Source organism: Homo sapiens, chromosome 12, assembly GCF_000001405.40.
Source record: "Homo sapiens chromosome 12, GRCh38.p14 Primary Assembly".
In the NCBI taxonomy this organism is placed as follows: Eukaryota; Metazoa; Chordata; class Mammalia; order Primates; family Hominidae; genus Homo; species Homo sapiens.
The window spans coordinates 92883457-92895727 of record NC_000012.12 but is presented as its reverse complement, the minus strand read 5'-3'; the positions used below and the strand labels follow the sequence as shown (position 1 = coordinate 92895727).

At 39.1% G+C, this 12271-nt stretch overlaps 1 protein-coding gene and 1 pseudogene across 2 annotated transcripts in view; one reads left to right on the top strand and one right to left on the bottom strand.

Annotated features, from left to right (window-relative positions):
* EEA1 (early endosome antigen 1) overlaps positions 1-12271 on the top strand; it is a 158659-nt gene that overhangs the window by 33568 nt on the left and 112820 nt on the right. For both annotated transcript variants that reach the window (NM_003566.4, XM_011538814.3), the window contains exon 2: positions 4007-4099. In NM_003566.4, coding sequence (NP_003557.3) covers positions 4007-4099 — 93 coding nt within the window. The remainder of the gene's footprint in view (positions 1-4006; positions 4100-12271) is intronic.
* Positions 10828-12036, bottom strand: HNRNPA1P50 (heterogeneous nuclear ribonucleoprotein A1 pseudogene 50; annotated as a pseudogene).

Sequence of the window (12271 nt, the reverse complement as noted above, 5' to 3'; positions counted from 1 at the left end):
CACTATCTATGGTAGTTATAGCCTTACAAAATATATTTCTTAAATAATAAGACTTGAAAGTCAAAATTACTCCTTGATCCATAGGCTGCGGAATGGATGTTATATTAATAGGCATGAAAACAACATTAAACTCCTTGTATGCCTCCAGGAGAGCTCTTGGGTGACCAGGTGAATTGTCAATGAACAGTGATATTTTTGAAAGGATTTTTTTTTTTTTTTCCAGTGGCAGCTCTTAATAGTGGGCTTAAAATATTCAGTCATCCAGCCAGGCACAGTGGCTCACACCTGTAATCCCTGCACTTTGGGAGGCTGAGGCGGGTGGATCATGAGGTCAGGAGATCGAGACCATCCTGGCTAACACGGTGAAACCCTGTCTCTACTAAAAATACAAAAAAACAATTAGGCGGCCTTGGTGGCAGGCACCTGTAGTCCCAGCTACTCTGAGGCAGGAGACTGAGGCGGGAGAATGGCATGTACTTGGGAGGCGGAGCTTGCAGTGAGCTGAGATCGGGCCACTGCACTCCAGCCTGGGCGACAGAGTGAGACTCCGTCTCAAAAAAAAAAAAAAAAAAAAAAAAAAAAAAAAAAAAAAAATTCAGTGATCCATGTGGTAAACAGATGTGCTATTAATTAGGCTTTCTTGTTCTATGTATAGAGCGCAGAGTAGCATTAGCGTAATTCTTAAGGGTCCTAGGAATTTCAGAACGGTATAAATGATCATTGGCTTGAACTTAAAAGTCATCAGCTGCATTAACCCCTAACAAGAATTACCCTGTTCTTTGAAGCTTGGAATTCGAAGCTTGGAAGCCCAGTATTGATTTCTCTTCTCTAGCTATAGTAGTTACAGATGACATCTTCCAATAGAAGGCTGTTTTTTTCTGAATTGAAAATCTGTTACTTAATATAGATATCTTCATCAATTATCTTAGCTAGATCTTCTGGATAACTTGCTGCAGCTTCTCCATGATCACTTGCTGCTTCACTTTGCATTATTATGTTATGGAGACAGCTTCTTTCCTTAAATCCCATGAACCAACCTCTGCTACCTTCAAACATTTCTTCTGCAGCTTCCTCATCTCTGTCAGCCTTCGTACAATTGAAGGGCCTTTCTCTGAATTAGGCTTTGGTTTAAGGGAACGTTAATGGCTGGTTTGAACTTATATCCATGTCACTAAAACATTCTCAGCAATTTGTGCTCTTATCATTTGTGTGTTCACTGGAGTAGCACTTTTAATTTCCCCAGGAACTTTTTCTTTGCATTCACATTTGGCTGTTTGGCACAAAGGCCTAGCTTTTAGTCTGTTTCAGCTTTCCACATGCCTTCCTCATTAAGCTTAATCATTTCTAGCTTTTGATTTAAAGTGAGAAATGAGCAGCTCTTCTTTTCACTTGAACACTTAGAGGCCATTATAGGGTTATTAATTGGCCTAATTTTAATATGGTTGTGTCTCAAGGAATAGGGAGGCTCAAGGAGAAGGGAGAGAGACTGGGAAATGGCCAGTGAGTGGAGCAGTCAGAACACACACAACATTTATCAATTAAGTTGGCCATCTTATATGGGTATGGGTTGTAGTGCCTCAAAACAATTGCAGTAGTAACTTCAAAGATCATTGATCACAGGTCACCATAACAGATATGATAATAATAAAAAAGCTTGAAATATTATGATAATTACCAAAATGTGACACAGAGATACAAAGTGAGCACATGCTTTTGAAGAAATGGCAGGAATAGACTTGCTTGATGGCAGAGTTGACACAAACTTTCAATATCTAAAAAGCGCCACATCTGCAAAGTGCAATAAAGAGACACACAATAAAATGAGATATGCCTGTAAATAAATGTGCAAAGTATCTGCATGAGGAAAAAAAAAGGAATGCTGGCTATTAAACTGGAGGTTTGCTTATCTTTAACATAAAACATTTTTTTCAAGATAAAAGCAATTCAAGTATGGATCTAAAATTCTGAAAAAAAAAGTAGCAAAATGAAAACTGAAAAAAATAAAAATGAAGATTCCTGTCTTGCTACAGAAATCATTATTTGAATTTTGGAATATTTCTTTTTAATCTTTTTTCTTATATCAGTAGTTTTTATATATAATTTAAATCATACTGTGTATATTTTTCCATTGTATATAGTTTTTATAATCATTTTGATGAATATAGCATTATGAATTCATCCTTATTTGGATTTAGGTTGAACATTTAGTAGTGATGTACAGGATGTTCACATGTTGAGGCAAATATGTAGTGAGGTGTTTTGAATCTTGGGTGATTGAGGGGCATTTCAGTGGAGATGTCTAACAGAGAAGCAGTATTGGTTAGTGATTAAGAGCCACACTGCTCTAATTAAAATCCCTTCTTTCATTTATTACCCATCTGACCTTGGGCAATTTACTTAGTCTCTATGCCTTGGTTCCCTCATTTGTAAAGTGTGGATAATGCTAGCATATACCATATATATTTTTGATGAGTATTATTGAGTCAGTTTTTGTGCTCTAAATCTCTTTTTACCCAGTGTTTTACTAGGTTTCAGATTCATCCAAAAAGCAATTTGATATAAAAGTAACACCTAGATTTTAATGAATGATAATGCTAAGTGATAAATGGTACAGGGGGAAAAGACCTTTAACCCTCCAAAATGTGTCTCTGATGGTGTCATATCAAGTATTGGAGCTGGATGGTAATGATTGGTTTGAGTGGTAGGTGATGGGGACTTGATAACTTGGGCTGCATTGGTCTTTTTTGCACCACTTGAATCACTGTAGTTTTAGTTTGTGTAGAAAAGAGACTATTGCCGGCTGGGCGCTGTGGCTCATGCCTGTAATCACAGCACTTTGGGAGGCCAAGGTGGGGGGATCACTTGAGGTCAGGAGTTCGAGAACAGCCTGGCCAACATGGTGAAACCCCGTTTCCACTAAAAATACAAAAAAAATTTAGCTGCACATGGTGGCATGTGCCTGTAGTCCCAGCTACTCAAAAAAAAATTAGCTGGACATGGTGGCATGTGCCTGTAGTCCCAGCTACTCAGGAGTCTGAGGCAGGAGAATTGCTTGAACCCAGGAGGTGGAGATTGCAATGAGCCAAGATCGTGCCACTATGCTCCAGCCTGGATGACAGAGTGAGACCAGCCTGGATGACAGAGCAAGACTCTTGTTTCAAAAAAAAAAAGAAAAGAGAAAGCATTGTCAAAGGAATCAGAAGATCTGCATTTTAGTTCTGCATCTTCTGATTTTTTTTGCTTTAACTTGGATCTTGAGAACTTTCTGATTTTTTTTCTTCTTCCTTGAACTTGCATCTTGAGGACTTTCTGATTTTTGCTGACAGTACAATGGTGGACTGAGCGTTATGGCTCACACCTGTAACCCCAGCACTTTGGGAGGCGGAGGTGGGCAGATCGTTTGAGCTCAGGAGTTTGAGACCATCTTGGGCAACATGGTGAAACTTCGTCTCTACCAAAAATACAACAAATTAGCTGGGTGTGGTGGTGTGCACCTGTGGTCCCAGCTACTTGGGTAGCTGAGATAGGAGGATCGCTTGAGCCTGGGAGGTGGAGGTTGCAGTGAGCCAAGATTGTACCACTGCACTCCAGCCTGGGTGACAGAGCAAGACCCCAACTCAAAAAACAACCAAAACAAAAGAGTACAATGGTGAACAAGTCACTTCCTGCTTTAAATCTGTTTTCTTCTCTACAGAGATAACATCCATCTTACCTGTCTTAAGAGATGTCATTTTGATTAAATATGATGTTTTGTGAAGGTGACTTGAAGACTTTGTAAAGTGTTGTATACATTTTGTTTAAAGTGACTTAAAATGAGAGAAATGCATATATAGAGATTTTGATACAGCATTAGGTACACTCTTCCATAAATGATACTGTTAGTACTGTTATTATTGTAAAGACATCTACTTTTCTTATGTGAAAAGGTTTAGATTATTAAATGGCCGATGAATATATTGTTAATGTCTGCTTTGTTTTTTTTTCCTCCCTACTGTTTGTGTTCCAGACTCCTGGGAGAGTTGGCTCTCAAGGTTCTGATTTAGATTCATCAGCAACTCCTATAAACACAGTGGACGTCAATAATGAAAGCTCTTCAGAGGTATGAAAATAATAACTTGGCAATAAAATTCAATATTAAGGGAAAATGAGCAAATATTTGGTGTAACGATTGGTGATTTGTATAGGAAAAGTTCTCACAAGTTTTTCTTGTAAAAGTTGGAATGTGACTTTTGAAACATACTTGTAGCTATATGCCTGTGCCTAGTTGTGAGACTGAGAAAGTGTACATTAAGACTCTGAAAAATAATATTGCCAATTTGTCTTTAATGCTAATGTCATCTCACTGAAGATTTTAAAACGTCTGTTTATAAAGAATTACAGGTTAATTAGTATCTATTTATGTGTGTGTACTGTCATGAACTGTTATTGGACTAAGGAAAAATTGGGTTATCTATAAAATTTACATATTATTTACTGTCTTCATGTATGACTTTGTAAGGACTTTTGTCTTTGATATTAAAGACATTATATTAAATATAAATACATTATATTAAAAATGAAGAAATTATTGTAAATAAGTAAAAAAATTCCAAAAATTTGAAAAGTCAGCTTTAGTTGCATTAATATTATTTTTAATAAATAAGTAATATTGGATGATTATAGAAAAAGGAGATAAGGAATGTGAAGAACATAACACTCACCCATAATACTGCCACGAAGAGATGAAGATGCTCAAATTTTGCTCTGATAGTTTTTGTCAGTTGCCCCTTTGAAGGCCTAGCTGTAGTCCTTACCCAGTCTTTTTTTCTCTGCTATCCTCTTCTCCACCTCTTGGTTGATGAGTCTGTGTATTGTGCATACGTTTCTGGATATGTCCTCTTTCTGTCCATTCATCATTCTGTTTTGTCTCTCTCTGACCATGTGTTTATTTTTTGTCTCCATGTGTATGTATTTTAACCATAGTAAGATTTTACAGATTTGCGAGAGGGGAGGAAAACTATCAGCTGGACTTTATTAAGAACAAGTTTCAGTAAATGTCTTTAAGAAAAATGTTCTAAACTGTGTTCATAATATGATGAACTGAAAGGAATCTAGTAATAATTTAGTTGACCTCAATCAGAACAACACCAAAAAACAATTCCAATGGGTATTGGTATTGAGCAGTGCCTGGCAATACTGTTAATATCATATTAGTAGGATTAACTTCCTACTTTCTGAGATAGTTATTTTGTACCTTCTTTGTTTTGAAATCTGTCTCTTTTTAACCTTCTCTCAGTCACCGTATATATAACTGAGAAAATAGGAACCATTAGATAAATGTTCTTATTTTATCATACCTATACCATACCTGTTTCCTCTTACTTTATTACACTGAAAAAAAGTCCTTTTTATAAAATTTCAGTCCTTTCTCTTGTTCTGTGGATTCCATTCTTTTTCATTTTTAATTTATCCTCTCTCCCTCCTGCTACTTCACTTTTTACCTCTACTTCATATAATTCCCAATAACATACAAATTTGTTCAATATGATTCATATGAAAACAAATAAGAAAAGAACACCAAAAAATCAAAAATGAATAAAACCAAGACCAAAAACTCTTTCTTTGACTTGAAATCCCGTCTTCAGGTACCATGTGTTATTTGCTTTCCTTCAGAGCCAAACTTCTCTAATATGCTGTTTACAGTCACTGGCTTCATATTTTATCTACTTAGATCTGTTATATCTTTTTGATGAATTGGTGTTTAATAGTAGTGGAATAACCCCAGCTTTGTTTTGATTAGTATTTTGTGTATCTTCTTCTTTCTTTCTTTTTTTTGAGACAGAGTCTCACTCTATTGCCCAGACTGGAGTGCAGTGGCACAATCTTGGCTCACTGTAACCTCTGCCTCCCAGGTTCGAATGATTCTCCTGCCTCAGCCTCCTGAGTAACTGGGATTACAGGTGCATGCTACCACACCTGGCTAATTTTTTTGTTTTGTTTTGTTTTGTTTTTAGTAGAGACGGGGTTTTGCCATGTTGGCCAGCCTGGTCTCAAACACCTGACCTCGGGTGATCTGCCTGCCTCAGCTTCCCAAAGTGTTGGGATTAGAGGCATGAGTCACTGCTCCCGGACTTTATCTTTCTTTTCATTTTCGTATTTTCTTGTTCCTTTTGTTTTAGGTGGGGGTTTTTTTTTGGTTTGTTCTTTTTTTTTTTTTTGCAAAGAGCGTTAACACTTGTCTTTTAACTGGGAAAACCGCTAAACCCCTTTGAATTATTTTGGTTATATTTTGATTTATTTTTATTACTCTTTATGTACTTTCTCTTTGTCCTGCTCTTCTGTTTCTTTTTCTCTTTTTGCCTTAGTTTGGATTTAACTTCCTTACTACACACCCTTTTCTGTGCTTCTGTAATACCACACACTTCTGGTTTTTTTCTTACCTCTCTAGCTGTTCATTCTCCTTATTTGCTGGCCCTTTGGTAAGCAACCTTCACATGGTGGTGGAGTACATTGCTGGGTTTAGTCCTGGGTACTGCTACTAGTTTGGATATTATGCACTATATTCTGTTCATTTAGTGTTTTTTTTTTTTTTAATGTTTTTGAGACAGAGTCTTGCTTTGTTGCCTTGGAGTGCAGTGACATGATCTTGGGTCACTGCAATCTCCACCTCCCAGGATCAAATGATTCTCCCACCTCAGCCTCCTAAGTAGTTGGGATTACAGGCACGTGCCACCACACCCTGCGAATTTTTTTGTATTTTTAGTAGAGACAGGGTTTCACCATGTTGACCAGGCTAGTCTCGAACTTCTGACCTCAAGTGATCCATCTGCCTTGGCCTCCCAAAGTGCCGGGATTATAGGTGTGAGTCACCATGCCTGGCCCATTTTTGTTTCTTTTGTAACATACATAATGTCTAACATACTTTTCTTTCCTTCCGTTTCGAGGATTTTTGAATGCTTTGATATGGATCACTACTTCCTAACTTATATTGTGGTTCATTAGTTTAGATTTATCTTATTTTCTTTTATCTTCACAAATTAGAGGTTATTATTATTTTTAGATTTATCCATGTATTTACCAGTGTAGTTGTTTACCATTCCTTATTGCATCTTCAGCCTTCCACTTACAATTGTTTTCTTGGGTTTTTTTTTTTGTTTGTTTGTTTGTTTTTTTAGATGGAGTCTGGCTCTGTCGCCCAGGCTGAAGTGCAGTGGCGCGATCTCGGCTCACTGTAAGCTCTGCCTCCCGGGTTCACGCCATTCTCCTGCCTCAGCCTCCCGAGTAGCTGGGACTACAGGCACCCGCCACCACACCCGGCTAATTTTTTGTATTTTTAGTAGAGATGGGGTTTCATGTTAGCCAGGATGGTCTTGATCTCCTGACCTTGTGGTCCACTTGCTTCGGCCTCCCAAAGTGCTGGCATTACAGGCGTAAGCCACTGCGCCCGGCCTATTTTATTCGTTTTATAGAACATCATTTAGGATTTTTTTAAAATGAGGACTGATTTGCTAGACTCTCAGTTTCAGTCTAAAATGTTATTTCATGCTCGTTCTTGAAACACGATTTTGCTGAGCATAAAATTCTACATACAGACCTTTTTTTTTGTCAGCACATTGAAAACTTCCATCTCTGTCTTTTTTCTGGGTCACATTGTTACTGTTGAGAAGACTGCTTTTAGTCTATTTGGTTCTATTGAAGGGATCCTTTTCTCTACTCCTGTGGTTGTTTTTTATAATTAATCAGCCAATAAATTAATCTGTTCTAGTCTCTTTCTTTCATTTCCTGTTATGTGTGTGTGTGTTTAATCCTGCTTGAGACTCATTGGGCTTTCTGTACACACCAATGTGTATTTGAAGTGTTTTGGAAAATTCTCGGTGATTATCTTTGACTATTGCCTCAATTTTTTTCTGATATTGCCATCTGAAACCTAGATTAGATATACAGATGCTCTTCGATTTATGATGGGGTTACATCTTGATAAATCAGTCATAAAGTCAAAAATTTTAAGTCAAACTATTCTAAGTTGGGGGCTTCCTGTATGTTAAAATTTCTCCCTTTATCATTTATTCTATCATAGGTATTTTTTTTATTTTTATTTTTTGAGACAAGGTCTTGCTCTATTGCCTGGGCTGGAGCGTGGTCATAGTTCACTGCACCTCAAACTCCTGGGCTCAAGCAATTCTCCCAATCTGACGTCTCCAGTAGTGGGACTATAGGTGCACATCACCATGCCTGGCTTTTTGTTGTTGTTGTTGTTGTTGTTTTTGGTAGAGATGGGCTCTCATTATGTAGCTTAGGCTGATCTTGAACTCCTGGCTTTAAACAGTCTTCCTGCCTCAGCTTCCCAAAGTGCTGGAATTATAGATGTGAGCCACTGCACCCCTCCCTGTTTTATTTTTTAAATTTTTAAGTTTTAGTTTTTGAGATGGGGTCTCCATCTGTGACTCTGGTTGCAGGCTGGTCTTGACTTCCTGACCTCAAGTGATCCTCCTGCCTTGGCCTCCCAAAATGTTGGGATTACAGCCATGAGCCACTGTGCCTGGCCTGTTTTATATTTTATATCCTTTTTTTTTGTTTTTCATTTTGGATTAAAAAATGAATTATCCAATTAATTAAATCTTTCCTCAGCTATGGAGAATACCTGCTGTTTAATATGCCATTAATTTTCATTTTAAATGTCTTTTTTTCATTCCTAGAAGTTCTTTCTTTTTTTCTTTGTTTTTGTTTGTTTGTTTGTTTGTTTGTTTGTTGAGATGGAGTCCCGCTCTGTTGCCCAGGCTGGAGTGCAGTGGTGCGGATCTCGGCTCACTGCAAACTCCTCCTCCCAGGCTCATGCCATTCTCCTGTCTCAGCCTCCCGAGTAGCTGGGACTACAGGCGCCTGCCACCACACCCGGCTAATTTTTTGTATTTTTAGTAGAGACAGGGTTTCACCATGTTAGCCAGGATGGTCTCGATCTCCTGACCTTGTGATCCGCCCGCTTCGGCCTCCCAAAGTGTTGGGATTACAGGCGTGAGCCACCGTGACTGGCTTTTCTTTTTCTTTTTTCCTTCCTTCCTTCTTTCCTTCCTTCCTTTCTTCCTCCCTTTCCCCCTTCTCCCCTTCCCCCTTCCCCCTCCCCTCCTCTCTCTTTCCCTTTCCTCCCCTCCCTTCCCTTCTCTCCCCTCCCCTCCCTTCTCTCCCCTCCCTTCCCCTTCCCTCCCCTCCTCTCCCTCCCCTCCCATCCCTTCCTTTCTCTTCCCTTCCCCTCCCCTCCCCTCTCCTCCCCTCCTTTCCCCTCCTCTCCCCTCCAGTCCCCTCCTGGCGTTCCTTTCTCTTCCCTTCTCCTCTCTCCACCCCTCCCCTCCCCTCCCCTCCCCTCTCCTCGCCTCTTCTTTTTTTCCACAGGATCTTGCTCTGTCACCCAGACTGGAGTGCAGTGGTGCAATCATAGCTTTTACTGCAGCCTTGAACTTCTGGGCTCAAGCATTCCTCCCACCTCAGCCTCTTGAGTAGCTGAGATTATAGGCATGTGCCACCATGTCCAGCTAGTTCTGATTGTTTTTTTTTTTTTTCAAATTTGATCTTTCTTTTTCTTAGTTCCTTGTTCTTTGCTTTAATTTTCAAGCTTCCCTTTTATTTATTAAAACATTCAAATATGATTATTCTATATTTTCTGTCTGGTAATGTTTATAGCATTATAGTATTTGAAACTTTATAGGTTTGACTCTGTTGCCAGTTCTTTCTGTTGGATGTCACTCGTAATGGCTTGTGGCTTTTTCTCTTGTGTATTTTGTGAATTTTTTTCGATTGTGAATTTATGTTCCTTGGAACTTTTCTAGTGGAAACTCTTTGTGGGCTATGTCGATGTTCTTGCAGCGAGGATTTGCTCAGCATTATGTATTACATATATGTTATTACAGCCGACACTTGAACAACACAGGTTTGAACTGCGCAGGTCCACTTATATGTGAATTTTCTTCCACCTCTGCCACCTCTGAGACAGCAAGACCCATTCCACTTCTTTCTCTTGCTTTTCAGCCTACTCAGAGACAACAAGGATGAAAAACTTTGTCATGATCCACTTCCACTTAGTGGATGGGAACATTAGAGAGGTGCCGTTAACTGGGGAACATTAGAGAGGTGCTGTTAACTGGGGACTGCCGTAAATTAAGTTCTGAGCTTGAAATTCTTCAGATTATACAATAGCATACATTCTGACTGCTAATCTAATTGAGGGCTATTAGTGGTTATGGATTCTCAGGGGAAATTGTTTTTTCCATATGCCACCAATACTAAGGTACAGACAAGGTCTTGGTTGGTCTCTGTCTCTGTCTCTCTGAGGTTTGTTTCCTTTTTACCTTTACATTGACTTTGGCTTCCTACTTTGGACAAGCTGTAGGTTTTAACATTGTGCCTTTAACAGCTTCTAAGTTAAATTGGAAATATCATGGTCTCCAGGACATTAAAGAAATATTCAGGGTGAAAGCTAACTTTGGTTCTATTTATATAATATTTTATATTTTATAGCGTGTAGTTGACCCTTGAACAATTTGAGTGCCAACCTCCTGTGCAGCTGAAATTCATGTATAACTTTTGACTCCCCAAAAATTTAACTACTAATAGCCTATTGTTGACCAGAAGCCTTACCTATAATATAAACAGTTGATTCACACATATTTTGCATGTTATATATATATTATATACAGTATTCTTTTTTCTTTGCACATTAAAAAAAGACATTTATTCTGCATCATGATCAGACTTACATTTAGCAATCAACAGCATGTTTGCAAAAAAAAAAAAAAATCTACATTGAAACCCTTTGTTGGAATGCTTTACACTTTCCACAGAACAGAAACTAAAATGACTTGTTATACAATTAGTCACAAATACAGTCCTCGAGTTTTTTGCCCATACCCATGAGTATTTGTCTAAAACAGGTCTTCTTTGTAGCAGCTAGGCCCTGCCACCACTGTGCTTGGCTGAGTTCACAATCTGTTGTAACCTGTAGCTTCCCTGTCACTTCTCTGGCTCTCCTCTCCTGCTAAGCTTTGTTTCCTAATTAAAATCTTCTGCCATTGCCATAGCTACTGCTGCTACTGGAACCACCATAGCCACCTTGGTTTCATGGTTTGGCAAAGTATTGGCCTCCACCACCATAGGGGCCAGGGCTTCTGCCTCCAAAGTTTCCTCCCTTCATGGGTCCAAAATTTGAAGACTGATTGTTGTAATTGCCAAAATCATTGTAGCTTCCACCACCTCCAAAATTGCTTCCATCATTACCAAATCCATTATAGCCATCCCCACTGCCACCATATCCACCACCACCACTGAAGTTTCCTCCACTACCAGTGTTGTCATTCCTGCCAAAACCACCTCCACGACCACCGCCAAAGTTTCTAGAACCACTTCAGCCTCTTTGGCTGGATAAAGCCCTAGCCATCTCTTGCTTTGACAGGGCTTTCCTAACTTCACAGTTGTGGCCATTCACAGTATGGTATTTCTGAATGACAGTCTTATCCACGGAGTCATGGTCGTCAAAGGTTACAAAGGCAAAGCCCCTTTTCTTGGCACTGCCTCAGTGAGTCATGATTTGAGTCACTTCAATTTTTCCATACTGTTCAAAATAATCTCTTAGGTGTTGTTCTTCATTGTTTAATGCCACCAACAAATATCTTTTTCATAGTTAAGTGGGCACCTGGTCTTTGAGAATCTTCTCTTGAGACAGCTCTCTTTGGTTCCACAACTCTTCCATCCACCTTATGTGGCCTTGCATTCATGGCTGCATCCACCTCCTCCACAGTGGCATGTGTGATGAACCCAAAGCCCCTGGAGTGCTCTGTGTTTGGATCTCTCATTACCACACAGTCCGTGAGCGTTCCCCATTGCTCAAAATGGCTCCTCAGGCTCTCATCGGTTGTTTTAAAGCTCAACCCTCCAATGAAGAGCTTCCTCAGCTGTTCGGGCTCTTTAGGAGACTCTGACTTAGACATGACGGAAGGGAGAAGAGAGACTTTAACGATGCTTCTTCAGTGGCGTCCGCGGGCAGAAAAGAACAAGCTGATGAACGTGTCTCACTGTATTCTTACGATAAAGTAAGATAGAGAAAAGAAAATATTATTAAGAAAATCATGTGGCTTATGCAGAAAAATGAAACTGGATTCCCTACCTTTCACCATATAAAAAATTTAGCTCAAAATAGATTAAAGATTTAAATGTAAGACCTTAAACTATAAGAATTTTAGAAGAAAACCTAGGAAACATCATTCTGGACATTAGTGTCGGGAGAGAATTTATAACTAAGTCCTCA